This window comes from Homo sapiens, chromosome 9 (genome assembly GCF_000001405.40).
Source record: "Homo sapiens chromosome 9, GRCh38.p14 Primary Assembly".
NCBI lineage: Eukaryota > Metazoa > Chordata > Mammalia > Primates > Hominidae > Homo > Homo sapiens.
In genome coordinates this window covers 93,654,655-93,673,579 of record NC_000009.12, presented here as the reverse complement: position 1 = coordinate 93,673,579, position 18,925 = coordinate 93,654,655, and the positions used below count along the sequence as shown (strand labels likewise).

General features: G+C 56.7%; 2 protein-coding genes across 8 annotated transcripts in view, besides 1 other annotated feature; both read right to left on the bottom strand.

Moving 5' to 3' along the window:
* PHF2 (PHD finger protein 2) overlaps nucleotides 1–18,925 on the bottom strand; it is a 103,004-nt gene that overhangs the window by 6,008 nt on the left and 78,071 nt on the right. For 3 of the 5 annotated variants that reach the window (XM_005252051.3, XM_006717143.3, XM_047423474.1), the window contains exons 8-17: nucleotides 17,559–17,646; nucleotides 16,985–17,091; nucleotides 15,344–15,435; nucleotides 13,980–14,069; nucleotides 13,020–13,388; nucleotides 10,554–10,673; nucleotides 9,945–10,063; nucleotides 7,716–7,894; nucleotides 7,520–7,590; nucleotides 6,340–6,503 (exon numbers count right to left, since the gene is read on the bottom strand). In XM_005252051.3, coding sequence (XP_005252108.1) covers nucleotides 6,340–6,503; nucleotides 7,520–7,590; nucleotides 7,716–7,894; nucleotides 9,945–10,063; nucleotides 10,554–10,673; nucleotides 13,020–13,388; nucleotides 13,980–14,069; nucleotides 15,344–15,435; nucleotides 16,985–17,091; nucleotides 17,559–17,646 — 1,399 coding nt within the window. The remainder of the gene's footprint in view (nucleotides 1–6,339; nucleotides 6,504–7,519; nucleotides 7,591–7,715; nucleotides 7,895–9,944; nucleotides 10,064–10,553; nucleotides 10,674–13,019; nucleotides 13,389–13,979; nucleotides 14,070–15,343; nucleotides 15,436–16,984; nucleotides 17,092–17,558; nucleotides 17,647–18,925) is intronic. The other 2 variants (NM_005392.4, XM_047423475.1) reach the window with 1 other exon arrangement.
* Nucleotides 2–6,329, bottom strand: LOC124902215 (keratin-associated protein 5-5-like). Of its 3 annotated transcripts, none has more exons than XM_047424314.1 (3): nucleotides 2,161–6,329; nucleotides 897–2,090; nucleotides 2–860 (listed from the first exon to the last, which is right to left on the bottom strand). In XM_047424314.1, exons 1-3 carry the CDS (start codon nucleotides 2,519–2,521, stop codon nucleotides 475–477), a joined length of 1,941 nt encoding a protein of 646 aa, XP_047280270.1. In that variant the 5' UTR covers nucleotides 2,522–6,329; the 3' UTR covers nucleotides 2–474. The 3 variants fall into 3 exon arrangements, with proteins under 3 accessions (XP_047280270.1, XP_047280269.1, XP_047280267.1); XM_047424313.1 differs by having other exon boundaries at nucleotides 2–1,112; nucleotides 1,149–2,090; XM_047424311.1 differs by having other exon boundaries at nucleotides 2–2,090.
* Nucleotides 3,406–3,919: an enhancer, noted in NCBI's record as "H3K27ac-H3K4me1 hESC enhancer chr9:96431943-96432456 (GRCh37/hg19 assembly coordinates)". NCBI's record gives its function as "activates a minimal SCP1, AML or CMV promoter by ChIP-STARR-seq in naive H9 embryonic stem cells {active_cell/tissue: H9 hESC(naive)}" and the evidence as "EXISTENCE:reporter gene assay evidence [ECO:0000049][PMID:30033119]".

Below are 18,925 nucleotides of genomic sequence, written 5' to 3'. Positions count from 1 at the left end.
GGCACAGAGAGACAGGCACTCAGCCCAGTGCTCTTGGCCTGCAGCCCAGGCACTTAAACAACAGCCTATGGCCTGCACAAACTCCTGCACAAACTCCTGGCCCAGGTGGCAGGCAGAGGGCGTGGAGCAGAGAGGGTGGCAGTGAGCTGATGACTTCTCCCTTGGAAGAGGCCAGCCACTCCCCTCATCCAGCTCTGCTCATCCACCCATATGCCACAGGGAGGGCTGGAGGCCTGGAGACAGAGATGGGCATGGAGAGGAGACGGAAGACAGCAGATGGGAAGGAGGGTCCAGACCCTCATATGGTCACGCACTGGTCTCTCACACCTTAAAGCCAGCAAGCCGACTCAGTGACCTTCCTCCTGCACCCCAGCCACTCTGTGTACCCCCTCGGTCCACCCTGTGCCTCTCTCCCAACTACAGAACTAGCCCTGGGCATTCCTTACCCCACTTTGTAGGGAACCTTCCCATGTGTCACCCTGAGATGGGGCAGCGTAGCCCACTCCCTCCCATGGCACACGCTTTCCCCAGTGACCTGCAACTTCTCTCCACACCCCCACCTTTACCCACACCTGCATCTGCACCTACACCCATACATGCATCTACACCTGCACCTACTCCTATACCCATACGTGCATCTACACCTGTACCTACCCTCACACCTGCACCTGCATCTACACCTGTACCTCCAACCACACCTGCATCTACACCTGTACCTACCTCCACCCCTGCACCTGCATCTACACCTGTTCCTACACCTACACCCATACATGCATCTACACCTGTACCTACTCCTATACCCATACCTGCATCTACACCTGTACCTACTCCTATACCCATACCTGCATCTACACCTGTACCTACTCCTATACCCATACCTGCATCTACACCTGTACCTCCAACCACACCTGCATCTACACCTGTACCTACCTCCACCCCCGCACCTGCATCTACACCTGTGCCTACACCCATACCCACACCTCCATCTACACTGGTGCCTACACCTACACCCATACCTGCATCTACACCTATACCTACCCCCACACCTGCATCTGCACCTGTACCTACACCCATACCTGCATGTACACCTGTGCCTACTCCCACACTCACACCTGTGCCTACTCCCACACCCACACCTGCACCTGCACCTGTGCCTACTCCCACACCCACACCTGCACCTGCACCTGTGCCTACTCCCACACTCACACCTGCATCTACACCTGACCCTACTCCCACACCCACATCTGCATCTACACCTGTACCTACATCCACACCCACACCTGCATCTACACCTGTACCTACATCCACACCCACACCTGCATCTACACCTGTACCTACATCCACACCCACACCTGCATCTACACCTGTGCCTACTCCCACACCCACATCTGCATCTACACCTGTACCTACATCCACACCCACACCTGCATCTACACCTGTACCTACATCCGCACCCACACCTGCATCTACACCTGTACCTACATCCACACCCACACCTGCATCTACACCTGTACCTACTCCCACACCCACACCTGCATCTACACCTGTGCCTACTCCCACACCCACATCTGCATCTACACCTGACCCTACTCCCACACCCACATCTGCATCTACACCTGACCCTACTCCCACACCCACATCTGCATCTACACCTGACCCTACTCCCACACCCACATCTGCATCTACACCTGTACCTACATCCACACCCACACCTGCATCTACACCTGTGCCTACTCCCACACCCACATCTGCATCTACACCTGTACCTACATCCACACCCACACCTGCATCTACACCTGTACCTACATCCACACCCACATCTGCATCTACACCTGTACCTACATCCACACCCACACCTGCATCTACACCTGTACCTACATCCACACCCACACCTGCATCTACACCTGTACCTACATCCACACCCACAACTGCATCTACACCTGTACCTACATCCACACCCACACCTGCATCTACACCTGACCCTACTCCCACACCCACATCTGCATCTACACCTGACCCTACTCCCACACCCACATCTGCATCTACACCTGTACCTACATCCACACCCACACCTGCATCTACACCTGTACCTACTCCCACACCCACATCTGCATCTACACCTGTACCTACATCCACACCCACCTGCATCTACACCTGTACCTACATCCACACCCACATCTGCATCTACACCTGTACCTACATCCACACCCACACCTGCATCTACACCTGACCCTACTCCCACACCCACATCTGCATCTACACCTGACCCTACTCCCACACCCACATCTGCATCTGCACCTGTGCCTACTCCCACACCCGCACCTGCATCTACACCTGTGCCTACTCCCACACACCTGCAACTACACCTGTGCCTACTCCCACACCCACAGCTGCATCTACACCTGTACCTACTCCCACACCTACATCCACACCTGCATCTGCACCTACACCTACCCCCACACATGCACCCCCACCTGCGTCTACACCTGCACCTACCCCCACCCTGCACCCCCACCTGCATCTACACCTGCACCTACCCCCACACCTGCACCCACCTGAACATAGACCTGCAGCTGCATCTGCACCTGAACAGACACAGCTGCACCTCAGCTCAGTCCAAGTTCACCCACTTCTGGCAGGCTCCACACAGACTCCCAGGCTTTCTCTTTGCCCTGTCTGCACCCCCGCTGCCCTCAGCTTCAGGTGGCCCCTCCCATAGCGCCCAGCCTGTCTCGCATCCGCATCCTCCTCCTCTGCCCCATGCCTATGCACACACCTCCTCCTGTCTACACTGGCTCCCCTCCTTCCAGAAGAATCTTCTGAGACACCCAGTGTGTGATCAGCCTGTCTAGGCTCACAGAGTGGTGAAATGGGGTGACCACTGTCATCCCACAGAACCAGGGGCTTGGTGCTGCTGGACAGCAAGGACCCCCAAGGCCAAGTCCTGGGCTCCTTGGGGACCTCCCTGCCAGGCCCTCCCATGGGATGCAGCCCTGGCCTCTTCACAGGGCCCTGCCCCACCGCCCACAACCCCCTGCAGCCAGGACCCTCACCTGTCTGTGCACCAGAACTACCTGGGAAGCTTTATAAATGTCAAGGCCCAGGCCCCACCCAGAAACTCTGAGTCAGGGGCCTGCCCTGGGCTCCAGATGCTGTATGTAGCCAGGACAGGTGCCCCAGGCTTCCCCACCACTCACGTGGTCCAGCCCAGCAGGTACACCCTGCAACGTCCCTTTCTAGTCCTCACCCCTGCCCACTTCCCTGTGGCTCAAACCTGGCCCCAGGACAAGGCAGCCCGCCCCACCTTACAGGGGAGGCCCAGCCACACCTGTCACTGCATCTAGCCACTCCTGGGCCCATACTTGGGGCACACGGGGTGCCTGCCGTCCTCTCCCTCTGCTCCCTGGACCTGCCCCTTCAGGACTCTTGCATCAGCATCACTGTCTCTCGAGCTGCCCATCCCCTCTCCACCACTTCCCAGAAGCACTGGAGGCACTTTCAGTAAAACCATTCAGATGAGAGGGGCTGGGAAGCCTGTGGCTGTGAGCACATCCAGGCACTGTAATGGGGGCTTGTATACCCAGAACCCCTTGCCAGAGACAGCACACATGTGAGACAAGAAGGAAGAGGCCAATACAGTGGCAGGCGGGCCACCCAGCTCTGCATGCCTGTGCCCACCTCTGTTACCAGACACAGAGACTGAGGCACCCAGGGCAGTGGCCCCACCAGGACCAGTCCTGGTTCAGAAGCAAGAGGGCTCCCAAGACTGAGGCTCTGCTACAGCAGGACAGGGAGAGGAAGCTGCCACAGGGAGCCCAGACACAGAGGGAGTCCTAGGGCTGGTGAGGCAACTTGGACAAAAGTTACCCATGCTGGACAGTGCTGAGGCCCGAACCCACTGCTCTCTGAGGGTCCGGCAGACTCAGGAAGATGCCCAGTGCCGGGGCAGGCGCCCTCACTGCAGCCCTCACCAATGCCACCTCCCAGGCCCTGTCTGAGACATACTGGACTGCGTTGCATTTTGGGTTTCACAGGGACTGAGCAGGATTGAGGTGTGAAAGCCACAACAATGGGAAAATCAAGCATGGTCAGCCTCAAGCACTCCTCAGAAGGCACTGCCGGGAGCTGCCCCCACAGTGCCAGGACCACACTGCCCCTGCCACACAAGCTGCAGCACTGAAGGCCTGCCTAAGTGAGCGCAGTCACTCCTGCCCTCACTGACATCTCCGCAGAAGCAGGCTCTCCCAGCCCCAGCTCAGGAGCCAGCCAGAGCACGCAGCTTGCCCTGCATCCTCTGGCAGGCCCTGCCCCGACCCCTCAACTGGCCTGCAAGGCCCAGACAGACTGGAGGGCGGGGGCCTGCACTTAGCCACGGGGGGCTGGGGGGTGGCCAGGGACACCCACTACGAGGGTCCATGCCATGCCGTCTGGGCAACCCAAGAGGGTGAGGACTGCATGCCCAGGTCCCGCAGGGTTGCTGGTGAATCAATGAGCAACGTCTAACTAGTCGGCATGGAAAATAATACTTTTAATCCACCAATTATCATACTCAAATCCTTTCCTTTTCCCCCAGCAATAAACACTGAGCAAACTATTCACAATAAATTAACATATTTTCCTCCATTTTCTTCAGCAGTTTTTTCCAAGCAGCCGATACTTAAAACAGAGCAAATAGACCATCAAAAACTGACCTACGCTCCAAATGGGAGACTTTGGGAGAGGAACTGCCTGCAGCGGGCTGAGGGGGGCCGGCGGCCTCAGTGGCCCCTAGCAGGCACATGTGCACGTGCACACTGCTCCGAGGCACGGGCTAGTTGTGCGGGGCGGGGAAGCTCTGGGTCTTTTGTTATCAGTGTGTCCACAGATGGGCTGCCCTACTCCTGGGCTCAGATTCACAGCGGGGAGCCCAGGACACAGCGCCTCCTCACAGACCTGAGCACAAAACCCTCCCCACCTCTGTCCCCATCTCCACTCCCCCTGCAAGTCCCAGGTGCCCACAATAAAGCACCTGGTGGCCCCCAGGCTTTTGGCCCTGTCTGCCCTCATCTTGGGTGGCCTCAGACACCCCCAACCCCCAGGACCCCCAGGCCTCTCCATGGACCTCGGGAGGGGCCTAGGGTGTTTAGGGGCCTCTCCTGCCCCTGAGGCCAGTCACTGAGGTGTCAGCTAGTGCATACTTCTTCCCAGAAGACAGGCATCCCCCAAAGAGCTGTGTGAAGCACCACAGCCTCCGACAGGGAGGAGGAGCTCACAGCCAGGCTTCAACCCCAGCCACAAGCACATCTCTGCAGCAAGGGGCTTAACATGGACAGGAACCACCTAGTGCCAAGCAGGAAATCTGTCCCCTAAGGCGCTATGGAAGCCTCCTGTCATGCTTCACTCCCATTAAAATAAAAGCACCTTACAGCTGGCTTTCTGATCAATATTACATGAACATAATATTGCATGTAAAATAGTAATATATGAAAGAAAGTACGGCCAATTGATTTAGCAAAAGCTCTTTTCAATCAAGCCCTTCATCTACCTTGCCCAAGCCCCCCATCTGTCTAAAAGCAGGCCTCCACCTGCCCACTGAACAAGCTTGGGGCTGTGTGGAGCAGCTAGCAGCATGGCCCTGGGTTGCCCATGGATTCTGGAAACCACAGAGTCTCTGAGGCACATCTTGGGAACTGAGCAGGACCCAAGCACAGGCTCCATCTTCCTCAATCCAAGTCACTGCTGGACAAGGGACCAGCCGCAAACACCCGGATATCACTGCCCAGCATTAGTCAACCCCCCAGGACCCCCAAGCTCAGGTTCTGCAATCAGGCAGATGGAAATTCTGGGCCTGCCTCTGCTGCTTCCTAGCAGTGTGCCCACGTGCAAGTATAAGCCCTCAGAGCCTCGGTTTCCCCATCTGTGCAATGGGAATCTGCAGCTGTCAAGAAGACCAGGAGGGCTGTGCTCCCCATGGCAGCTGCAGCCCCCGACATGGGCCCAGGGGCACCATGGAGGGGGCTACACCTCTGCCCCCTGAGTTACCCGTCTGTAGTACATGTGGAAATTCCCAAAAGATTTCCACGTGAAAAAAACAACAGTCTCGGCACATAAAATTGAAAACCTGTGGTTCTGAATTTACCCGAAAAATTAAAAGAAAAAGAAGCCCTTGATTGAAAGGAAAGCCCCAGTGGGACGAACCAGTCCAACATCTGAGGTGTGCCCTTCTGCCCAGGCCCAGGGGCGGCTCAGCACTGGCTCCAGCTGTGCGTCTGCCTCGCAGGCTCCCACCATCATGGCCGAGGGCCAGCCCTGGGCCTGCCTGGTCCCCGCTCTTGGGTGCTGCCGGGTGGTGGGGCCCACCTGCTGGGGTTGTACTCCAGCGCGCCAACCTCCTCACTGGCCTGCAGCAGGTCCAAGATGCCAGCTGCCGAGCTCCCACTCTCCTTCTTGACTCTGGCATTGCGGCCGGGCTTGGTGTCTGTGTCGATGTGCAGCGAACCCTCGTCCGAGGAGTCATCACTCTGCTGCGCGAGGGACAGGGCTTCGGTCAGGGGAGGGTCTGGCCACCAAAGTGGCCTGGGAGTTGGGAGGAGGATACTTTTTCCCTTCAGGGACTAAACTAGTTTTTTAACATTTTTATTTATTTTATTTTTATTTTTATTTATTTATTTAGTTTTGAGATGGAGTCTCGCTCTGTCGCCCAGGCTGGAGTGCAGTGGTGCGATCTTGGCTCACTGCAAGCTCCGCCTCCTGGGTTCACACCATTCTCCTGCCTCAGCCTCCCAAGTAGCTGGGACTACAGGCTCACTCGCTCGGCTAATTTTTTGTATTTTTAGTAGAGATGGGGTTTCACCATGTTAGCCAGGATGGTCTCAATCTCCTGACCTTGTGATCCACCCACCTCAGCCACCCAAAGTGCTGGGATTACAGGTGTGAGCTCTGCGCCCAGCCAGTTTTTTAACATTTTTAAAGAGCCGCTGCCCTTCTAATGAACATTGCTGGGGTCAGACAGAGGCCCCTGGAGCCGACGGGCTGGATGGCCAACACACGGACACACAGGGCAGACGTGGGTGCCAAAGCTCTCTCAGAACCACAAAGGACCAAACTGTCTTCACACTGTGCACCATGTTCACAGAGGAACTCTGGTTCAAAGGAACCCTTACACAAGACAGCCCCAGTGTGTAACACATGTAAAGAGACACCGCCATGGTTGGAAGGAGAGGCGGGGGCAGGGCCTGCAGCCCCAGAGGGACCTCAGGCTGGAGGAAAGCAGTTAATACACTAGATCCCAATAACCTCCCCCGGCAGGAGGCTCAGTGGGGACACACCCCTCGCACGCCCAGGCAGAGATGACCACTGTGTCTTAGAGTTGGATGTGACCTTAGAACACTCATGAAAGGGTGGGGTGAGGGTAAGGGGCCCCTTTGCCATCTCATGCAGAAACACCCCCAGAGACCGCCCTGGAGTCACTCAAACCATGGCCTTGGGGACTGCCCAGAGATGCCCCCCGAGACTGAGGGGGGCCTGTAAGGCAGCTCACCTTGTACGCTGCCGAGTCCAGCTTTGGCTTCGTGACAGGCGTGGGCAGCACAGCCTTCTTATCCAACAAGACTGAAAGCACAGCAGATGGCAGTCCAGCGGGAGGCCTTGCGGGGAGCCAGCCACCCTGGGAAGACCTCTCCGGGGCAGGATGGGCCTCTCCCACACCCCTCCCCCAACACCCCCTCCCAACTCACAGGACAAGTCCCTTTTCGGGGCGTTTTTCTTCCTCCTGATGGGAAACTCGTCGATCTTGAGCTCACCGTCATCCGACACGTACTCATACTCATCCCGCACGGGCTTGGGCTTGTCCTCCTTGAAGTTCTGCAAGGCCCCGAACACACCAGGGCTCGTCGGGGGCCTGAGAGCCTTGGAGCTAGGGCAGAAGCGAGTGGGTCAGCAGCATCCACATAGCCCCACAGCCAGCGGACAGGTAGGACCTCCCGAGGGGTCCTCTGCCAGGGCCGCGGCAGGATGGCCTCCAGGAGGCAGGTGACGTTGCCACTATTTGAATTTCCATCCGAAGAAGCCTCAGGCCCAGTTGAGATGGGAGGAGGGTAGAGGGCCCAAGCCTCTGCAGACAGGAGGCCAGGCTGGGCCTTCAGTCCCCACTGTGGGAAGCTATCTGCCCACAGGAGGGGACACTCCCCAACCCCATGGCCTCCTACACAATGCTGTGCCTCCCCACACACCACATTCAGGCAGAGAGAGCCCTTCCCCAGGCAGTTTAGATGCTCAAGACAGTGACCCCCAACTGTCCCAGGGCCACTGGACAAGCTTAAGCCCCGCCTCGGGCCTGCCTAGGAATCCTGGCACATGCTGAATTGGTCTTTAACCGGAAAAGGACCCAAGTTTCCTGGTTTTTTTCTCCATAGCTATGTTGGAAAAATAAACTCAGGGCCAGGGCTACAGGATAGATGTAACAGTCTAAGAAACAGTGTGTAATTTGTCTCCCTGCCTGGGTGAAGGAGGACTACTTCAGAGCTTGGCCTGCAAGCAGCTCCAGCCTTTGCCTTCCCAGGGGTTTGAGGACAGGTTTCTCTCTATATAGTAGCAGGGACAACAGGCTGAGGCAGAAAAGTCTGGAACTTCAAACAGACACAGCTCCAATTCTGAGCAAATGGAAGTGCAGACACCTGGATACAGTGCCTAGGTGAGGCGGCTTCCAATGCTCTAAGTGAAGGGGCGGCGAGCCCGCTGCCTTACGGGCTGGGCCGCAGAACACACGTGTCCACAGGCTAGAGTCACACCGCTCTTTCTCATCTCTATCGTCAACTCCCTAGCACCGTCACAGAGTGAATGCCGTTTAATAGCTTCCCAGGAACCTAGAAGCAGAGCTTCAGATAAAGCAAGTGACACGCCCAGGGCCATGAAGCTGGGCAGCCACAGGACCCCGCAGACCTGCCCCTTGGCTGAATGGCCTCGCGTGTTGCCCTGAGCTCCCTGACACTCACAAGACTCTGCCTGGGCACTGCTCCCTTTCTCCACCACCCAGAAAGAGGCCTTCTCCTCTCATCTCTTCAATGAGGAAACTACAACCTGGCCAAGTTAGTCAGTGGCTGCTGCAGAAAAGTGGCCGCCCCTCCTGCTGGGACCTGTCTGACTCCGGCCAGGCCTGGGGCCTCAGCAGGTGACATGTCCCACGCACCGGGAGCACACACAGGCCCAAGTGTTGCCGCTGGAACCATGAGGCTCTCGAGGTTGCCACCGGGCTCACAGCCCTCCGCACCCCTTGCCTCACCCCGAGGCTCATCCAGCATGCCCACACCACCCAAACACACCCCCTAATCTCTGCTCAGTGCCGTCTCCAGGAGGCCCTCCTGACTCCCAGGTGGGTCACGTTCTCAGCACCCAGGGTCCCATGTTGGGTTCACACCAGGCCCTCCCCACTGGCCACCGGGCTCTGAGAGCCAGGACCCTGTCCCCCATGCACGTCCTCAGCACCAGCTCACAAGAGCCAAACATCTAACACTCATGGAGTCCCACGGCCTCCCTCCCTACCTGGGGGGCCATCCCTCATTGCAGGCTGGCTGTATCTTCCAGCCCAGTCCCACCCAGGCATGTCTGCTTCCTCACACCCACACTACAGGTGGAGCGTGGTGGGAGGCAGGGATGTGGCTCTGCTGGTGTCTAGGCCTGATGAAGACGTGCCAGGAACAGGGCTGCAATCAGTGAGGTCAGCAGCTCAGAGGGAGAGGAGTCCCCAGAGGTGTGTCAGCCAAAGGCTGTGTGTTTATGGGGTACGTGATGTGCAGTGTGTATGGTTGTGTGTGATGCAGTGTGTGGTGTGTGTGAGATGCAGAGTGCATGCATAGTGTGTGTGTAATGTGTGTGTGGTATAAGGCAGTGGGTGTGATGCAGTATGTATGGTGTGTGTGATGTCGGTTATGCGCGAGGTCACCCCTCCCATCCAGGCACTCACATACCCGAGGAGTTTCTTGTTGGAGAAAGAAAAAGAGAACTTATTGTCTTTGTTTCCAGCTAGAGGCGACTTCTCTAGCTTCTGCTCCTCTTCCATCTTCAGTAAGGAGTCAGGTTTGCTGTTCTGAAAAGCAAGACCAGGGCCGTCCCTGAGCCCCACACAGAAGTGGGGGGTCAGGACCCCAATTAGTGTCAGTGAGAAGAGGCAGCTACTGGGAACACGACTAAGGAAAGTCACCCATAGCTCTGGTGGCCACCCGGGCCACTGCGGGGTGCTCAGGGGCCTGCACCCCATGGACTCAGTGCCTCGATGTTGCCTGACCCCCATGGAGTGGGAATGAAAACCAGTGTGTGGACCGTGAAGGGAAACACTGTCAACATACAGGGTGTACATTCAACCTCTTGCATCCCAACCAACTCAGAGGAAGATGTAGTCCATGGGTGGTCACACACACCTCAGACCCACGTAAGCACACCCCACAGCACTACCTACTCAGGACAAGCAGACACATGTCTGCACATTCCTTCACACACACAGGGCCTCACAGATTCACCTCTGCTCACACTCACCAAGCTGACACACACACGTGTGCATGCATATGTGCACTTCTCACCTTGTACTTCCACTTGGCCTCTGACTTGCTCTTGGTTTGCTCTCGAATTTCCAGCCTCTCCACATCATTCTGCATGTGAACCACATCTTTGTTGGGCACACTCAGGACACTCTTTGTGGCCTAGAAAAAAGGGCTGCTGTGACCCAGAGGCAGACATAGAGGGCTGGTGGAACTCTCTTGAGCCACAGATTCCCTGTCTTCTTCTGGCCCATGTGCTTGCAGCTCAAGCCTCCATCCATCTACCCATCCACGCATCCATTCACCCACCCATCGATGTACCCATTCACCCACCCATCCATCCATCCATTTATTCATTCATTCGTTCATCCATCCATCCGTTCATTCATCTGCCAACCCATTCATCCATTCATTCATCCCGTTCATTCATCCACCAATCCATCCATCCACTCACCCATTCGTTCATTCATCCATCCATGCACCATGCATTTGTTCATCCATCCATCCATCCATCCATCCATCCATCCATCCATCCGCCCACCCATCCATCCATTCGTTCATCCCATTCATCCACCCACCCATTCATCCATCCACTCATCCATTTATTTATCCATCTACCCATCCATTTATCCATCCATCCATTTTTTCATCTATCCTTCCATCCATCCATCCACTCATCCATTTATCCATCTCCCCATCCACTCATCCATTCATCCATCCATCCATTTGTTCATTCATTAATTCATCCACCCATCCACTCACTCAATCATCCACCCATTCATCCATCTACCCATCCATTCATTTATCCATCGATCAGTCCATTCACCCACCTATCCACCCATCCATTTGTTCATCTATCCATCCATGTATCTGCTCACCCATTCATTCATCCATCCATCTATTCATTCCTCTGTCTATCCATCCATCCATCCATCCATTCATTCATCCATTTATTCATCCACCCACCCATTTGTTCATCCATCCATTCATCCACCCAACCATCCATCCACTCATCCATCCACTCACCATTTGTTGATTCATTCATCATCTACCCATCCATCCATTCATTTATCCACCCATCCATTTGTTTGTTCATCCACCTTTCCATCCATTCATCTATCCATTTATTCATCCATCCATCCATTTTTTCATTCATCTATCCATCTACCCATCCATTCCATCCATCCATCCATTTGCTCATCCATCCATCCATTTATTCATCAATCCATCCATCCACCCAACCATCCAACCATTCTTTCATCTATCCACCCATGCATCCATTCATCTATCCATCTACCCATCCATCTTATGCACTCATCCATCCATCTACCCACTCATCCATCCATCCCTTCATTATTCCATCCATCCATCCATTCATCCATTCATCTACCCATTCATTCATTATTCCATTCATCTACCCACCCATTCATTTATTCGTCCTTCCATCCATCCATCCACCCATTCACCCATCCATCCATTTATTCATCCATCCATCCACCCATCCATCAATTCGTTCATGTAGCCATCTATTCATTCATCTATTCATCCATTCGTTAATCCATTCAACCATCCATCTATCCAGCCATTCACTGATTCATTCATTCATCCATCCGTCTGTTCATCCATTCATCCATCCATTCATCCACCTATTCATTCATTCACCCATTCATCCAGCCATTTAGCCATCCATTCATTTGCTCATGCATTCATTCATGCTTGCCCTGAGAAAGAGAACACAAAAGCGTCCCACTACACCCCTGTGATGCCGGCCCTGAAGTTTCCTGGCCCCCAGGAAGCAGATAACGACCTCCTCCTGGCAGAAACTCACACTCAATGGTGCTTCAGGGGTTCATGGTCCCTGAAGCCCAGACCTAAGATCCTCTAGTCAGAGTGGGTCTTCAGGGCTGGGCCCATCTCTTCACTGTCCACAGGGGCTCAGACTATCAGGGCCACCCTGCTCTTGTCCTCACCCCTGAACCCCCTCCCCTCCAATGGCATTCTCCCTGTTGTTTCTGCACAGACACCTCATCTACCTTCAGGTTTCAACCTCAATGTCTTGGCCCCAGGGAGGACCCAGGGCTTCTTTGTCCCCTGGCAACTGCTCATCTGGCTAGGAAACCTAAACTAGACATCCCCTTCTGGAAAACCACCATGCCTCCTCCACCAGGTGGCCCTCTTGGGTGCCACCTCTGCCACAGCACACACACATTGTGTTGCCTTCCTCAGTGAGGGACCCTCTTCAGGCCCACTGCTCTGTGGCTTGTTGGGCAAAGCCTGTCCACTCTGGGGGGTCTGGGCCTGGATGCTGCAGGACTGGGTCAGGACCAGGCAAGGAAGTGCATCTTCTGGGCATACAAGCCCACAGCAAGAGCCCAGACCCCCACATCTTCTCAGGGGCCCCTGGGGAACAAGGACAATGGGCCCTAGCTATCTCCATGGGACTGGCCCACAAGAGATGCTGCAGCACCTCTGGTGATAAGGTGGGGAGTCAGGGTGAGGGGGTCCCACCTTGCCCTTCTTGGGCGGCTCCATCTTGGTCAGTGCCTCCTTGGTGTGGGCTTCGAGCAGGTCCAGGTTGGGGATGGTGGGTGAGGCTGACTCCCGGGACTTCTTCCCTTTCTTCTTGCCTCCATCTTTGAGCTTCAGCGTTTTGGGGGGCCTTGGGGGCTTAGGGGGCTTCGGGGGCTTGGGGATTTTGGATGGCTTGGGCATCTTCACAGTTTTGGGAGTCTTTTTTTTGGACACTTTCTCCAGGAGGGATTGAGGCGGGGTGGCCTCAATGGGAGACGGGGGCTCCTCCTTCTCCCGGTCCCCGTCACACACCTCATCTGACGAGGCGACAGTATTCACTTCCGGTCGGACGGCTTTGGAGGCATTCTGGGATACAGAAAGGAGAGGGTCACATGCTGCTTCTGCCAAACTGTGGCCCAAGACGGTCCACACACCAGGATGCTGGAGACACTCAGTGCCAGGCTGGCGGGGAACTATCAGCCCAGAAAGGCTCAGCTACCCCACACCATCATGTGACACACTCACACCCAACCCATGCTATTGTGTGACACACTCACACCTGCGACATGCCATGAGTCACTTGCTCTCCCCAAGGCTCTTCTGTCCTACCCCAGCACAGCGGCTGAGGGCTCATCCAGGAACACACAAGCTGGGACTGCAGGGGCTGAGTCAGGGGCTCCTCCCACAGAGTGCCCTCCCCATGGGAGTTTCAGAGAGGCTGGTGCCATTTCTCAGTCCCTACACACTCACACCAGGACACAGACCCAGCCAGAGACCTAGGACCCTGAGCCCTCACAAAGGCAAGCTTGCCCAGGAAAGTGCAAGGAGGACCATCTGGGGCACTGGCCTTCCCAGACCTGGCAGCTCTGTGTTAGGCTGGCCCCTGGACCCAGAGAAAGACAGGTGGGCCCTCCCCAATCCCCAGGGGTCCAGCCCAGCACCTGGACACGGCCCCACCTCACTGAGCCGGATCTCTTTGGCCAGGTCTTTGATTAGCTGTGAAGGTTTGAAGTGCTCCGGGAGCTCGTCCTCATGCTCTGCCAAAGCCTGCAGGACAACCGGACCCAGGGTCAGCACCAGACACCTCCCGTGGTCCTGACTTACCCCTGCATTCTTGCAGGCTGTCGCCTGACTGCCGAGCCACTCAGATGAGCATGAGGCGAGGGGCTTCCGAGCCAAACTCTGCCCTGGCAAGAGGTCTCTGCTGTGAGCCCCCATCAATAGGTGGACAAACCAAGTACCAGAGAGGACAAGCTTGCCTGAGGCCACCACCAGCAGGCTATGGAATGGACAAGGGTCCCATCCCTTCTTCCTGGTCAGAGGCCACTCCACCCAGCCACATGGCTAAGGTGAGGTGGCAGGGGCGCCCTGGACTGCCCTGGGCCTTGAGGCCTGACGGAGGTGGTGGCTGCAGGATGGCCCTGGGAGTGCACTGGCTGCCTCTCCTGCCTGGCCCACCCATGAGAAAGGCAGGCTACACATGGTATTCCCTGCAGCCTGTATTCCCTGAAGGCTTCCTGTAAATCTCCACTGGCCTTCTCTGGCCTGGGAGAGGGTCCTCCTCCCTCAAGAGTGGGCATAGTACCTCTGCACAATGAGCCCAGTAGGAAACACTGTCCCAGAGGGTGCTCGAGGCTGGGCCAGACCTTCCCCTCCCTTCTGTAGCCAAAACCAAGGGAAGATGCTAAGCAACACAGTAAGTGGCTTCTGTGGGGGCGCGCACAGGATGGTCATCGGTAAGAGTCACAGGGAGGGGCTGCCCGGGTCACAGAGCAAGGTGGCTGGGGTGCTGCACCTGCAATCAGGCAGCTTAGCTTCTGAGCTGATGCCAGGGCCAGCCAGGAGGAGCCGACAGGGTGTCCCCAGCACTCCCTGTCCTGGGGCCAGCCACTCCCCCAGTCCTTCCCTGCCCCCACCAGGTTCCAGGCCTTTCTGTGCTCACACAGTGTCATCCCACCATAGGCCATCTGTCCCCCACCCACAGACCCACCTTCCTCCCAGGACACACCAGCACCTGGTCACCCTCCTCCCACCAACTTGTGACTAAGCTGTGAGCCCCTGATGGAGGGGGCTCTGCATCTACATCTGTCCTCCCCCAGCCCTCAGGTGGCCCAATCAGTGGACAGCAGGGGACGGACCCATGGGGTGTCTGGGGCAAAGGCACACCCCGGGCCAAGCCAGGCAGGGGAGCACCACCGTCCTTCCCAGGCTGGATCTCACTGAAGCAGGACAAGTCCTGGACATTGCTGCTGGGTCTCCAGGGAGGTCCTCCCGCCTGTCACTGCTCTCCTGCCCTAGGGCATTTGTGACATGATTCCTACCTGCTTCTTCGTCCACGATCGGAAAGCACCATTGAGAATTTTAGCTCCTTGGACTAGATGAGGGGGCAGCTGCTTCCCAGATTTGTGAGAGCCTGGGAAGGAGACACTGGGTGAGGTGGGTGGGTGCCTGCTGCCCACAGGTGCCTTCATGCCCAGCCACATAGCCAGACCGGGGGATGCCAGGTCCAGCCTTCCAGAGGTCTCCCTCCGCCCATGGCCACCAGCTCAACTGCCAACAGTTCCTCTTGGAACCTGGGGGCGCCCATCCTCCTGGTGGCCTGCCCTGCTTGAGGAAAGATTGGCCCTCCCACCATCCTCCCACTGTCTCACCCTCCAGGCCCCTAACACAGGCTGCCTTGCTCTCCTCACTCTGCCCAATACCCCAGCCCTACCTGAGCAAGGGGACACAGTCATGCCAGGACCCAGGCCACAGGCTGTCCATGGGCCCACACCAGGCATCCCCAAGCATCTCTTCCCACCTCATGGCGCCCCTTAGCACAGTGTAGGGACCAACTACATTTCAGCTGGGAGGTGTGCTCCTGCTGTGGGCCTCCCCTCCCTCTTCCCATTGAAGAGGGCTCCAGGGCTCCAGGGCTCTGACGCACCAGGACCATGGCAGCTCCCTGGGTCCTCTCAGTCCTGGGGGCCAACTGAACTGTCGTCCACTCAGAGAGGGAGGGTCAGGCAGAGAGGATATGGCCACAGTGGCCTGGCTGGCCAGTAGTCAGGCTGGCCCTGTGGGGTGGCTTCCCAGGTGCTGCCCTGATCCCTGCCTCCCTGGCACCAGTCCCCTGAGGGCAGGGTTAGACTCCCATCTTGGGCACTTCCTTCTGCCAGAGTCAAGCTCAGGGCTCCAGATTTGGGGAACAGTGGGAAAATCTTACCGCAACCTGGCCAGCCGTGACTAAGGACCATTTTACCTTCTCAAACTAGGGCCAGAGTACAAAGGGTCTGCATAAAAGAGCTCTTGGCTGCTATTAGAACCAAAAAAGAGCAACTAAGAGCAACCACACCGAGAAAGGAAATCACGCATAAATGCAAACTCTCCTGCAGGCTCCCTCACGCTGCTGGGCAGTCTGGAGGCCTGGACAGGGTGGTGGCTGGCAGGAGCCACCTGCTCTCATCTCTGAGGGTGTGGCCAGGCAGGACCTGGGACAGAAAAGGGCGGCCCGGGGATGCCAAAGTGCATCCACAGAGGGCCACCGAGCCACAAGCCTGCCTCACGGTCCAGTTGCCAGGCCCCTGAGGGAGCCTAAGGGGACCCAGAGCCCACTCGCACCCACTCCTCAGCTGGTGACAGAGCCAGGGCTCCACCCTCCCAATGGAGGCAAGTGTGGAGGGTGGAGCAGGTGTGATTGATACCTGCACTGAGGCCATGCACACTCACCCCTCTCAACCCACAGCCCAGTGTTCGTTCTAAAACAAGGGACAGTCCAATCGGAAGGAGAGGCCCAGCCTGTTCAATCTAGTCCTGCATTATACAGATGGGGAAACTGAGCCCCAGGGGTCTGAGTCCCAAGAGGACTTGCTCAGGCCACAGGAAGGCGGCACTCACACCCAGACAGTCAGCCCTGACCAGGTCTGGCTGCCCCCACAGCCAAGAGCCCCAGGCTTGGACGCCCACCCCGGAGTGACCAGTACCTTTGAATGCCTCCAGCAGGTGCTTCCCCATGTACCAGCACGCAGTTTCAAAGTTGGGAAACTGAGTCAGGCTGCCCAGTTTCAACCTCCTTTCCACTTCATATGCTCTAGAAGCCACCAAAGAGCAGTTCTCAGTGCACTGACCATCAAGCAGGCGACGCTGGGCATCAATCCAGGCCCCAGACACACCAGCTCAGGCCTCCCCACTGGGCCCTGCATAGCTGAGGAGGACCAGGGGAAAACTGCCCTGGTGGCTGCAGACCTCGGGGCCCATGAGAGTTCTGTCAGTGCCCAAGAAGAGAAGGCAGCAGCCTTTTAAGCAACCCCAACCCCACCAAGGGCAACTACAACCATCCAGCAGCCAGGTCCCTTGAGGAGCCGGCCTGCATGAACCCAGGGCCCACCTCCTCCTTCCCTCCACATCACAAAGAGGCCCACCGAGGCTGACGGTCATGTCCAGGCCACCCACAGGCGGGCTGTGCCAGGACTCAGCCCAAGGCATCTAGCACCGACCCAGCTAGAGGGAGGACGCTGCTCTGCGGAGCCCGAGGGCAGACAGCGCGGCAGGCACTACCTCATCTGCATCTCCACACTCAGGCTGTGGAGGAAATGTCCCGCGAAGGCCAGGCAGTCCACAGGGGTGAGTGTGGCGTAGATCCAGCCTGGGAGAGAGACAGGAGTGGCTGGTGCCCCACCTTGCTCCCATGAACGGGCTTCTCATGGCTCTAGATCAGGGAGCGGCGGAGACCAGCACAGGCCTTTCCCGGCCCAGCCCAGGCTCCAGCTCCTGCCCGCCTACACCTTGGTGCCCTGTCCACCTCTGCGGCTTCACCAGCAGCCTGGGGCCTCCCTGGGAGAAGCTCTCTGGCTCTGGCCCAACCCCAGCCTCCATGGAAGGGGGTCGGGGGAGAGGCTGTGTCTGAGACAGCACAGACTAGTCAGTCCAGCCCTGCACAGACAGGGAAACCGAGGCCCAGAGCTGAGGGGACTCACTCAGACCACTTGAGGGGGCAGTACTCAGACAGAGAGAGGAAGCCCCAGTCTGTGTCCAGCTACCTGGCCTCCCAACCACACTCAGGAGCAGGAGACAAGGCTGGGGCAGCTGCATCGCAGCTGGGACTGGTCCCCAGGTTATCCTCGGAGACAGAGCCTGGGCCAGACCCTGGGAAATCCACAACTCTTTCCTAAATAGCTGCGACTATGAGGAAGCCAACGGAGGGAGGAGGGACCCAGAGATTACAGAAGATTCTGAGCCTTATAAATCATTAAAATATGAGGGCCTCAGTTTGATACTTATTTAAAATGAAAAAAAAAAAAAACCAACCCTATAAAACGATTTAAAAATCTGAACACCAATTGGCTATTTGATGATACCAGGGAAATGCTGTTAATTGTTCATTTTTCAAGGTGTGACAACAGTATTACAGCTATGTTACTTAGAAGGAAAGGAAGCCCTTCAGAAATAGTGGAATATTTAATGAAACAGAGGAATGTCTGGGATTTGTTCTAACGTCATCTAGGGGCACACAGTGGCTCATGACGGGCCTTCTCCTTCAGCACAGACTCAAAATGTCCCCTACTATTGTCTTAATTAGCAGCTAGCGCCCTCCTCCCTCGCTGGCTCTGATGTCATGGCTGCTGTCTCCACACAAGGCTCTCTGAGCTGGGTCTCCAGCCATGGGCTCGGTCATAGTGAGCCCAGCCAGGATGAGAAGGCGGGTGACTGGCTGCGCAGCTCCAAGGTGGCCTCGGTGGTGAGGAGTGCCCATGCTGACGAGACAACACAAGCCCCATTGCTGGCCCCTCTGCAGGGACTGGGCTGGGGTGGCGGTAAGCTCCGGACAAGGGAGCTGCCCAGTTTCAACCTCCTTTCCACTTCATATGCTCAGGACAAGGGAGCAGGCATGCCAGGGATGCCGAAGAGACCCCATGGTGGGGACA

Excerpts from the sequence above, each read along its gene's own strand:
- LOC124902215 (XM_047424311.1), bottom strand. The coding sequence starts at position 2,521 with ATGCAGGTGGGGGTGCAGGGTGGGGGTAGGTGCAGGTGTAGACGCAGG. Across the intron at positions 2,091-2,160 it reads AGATGTGGGTGTGGATGTAG|GTACAGGTGTAGATGCAGGT; the intron begins GTACAGGTGTAG and ends GTGTGGGAGTAG.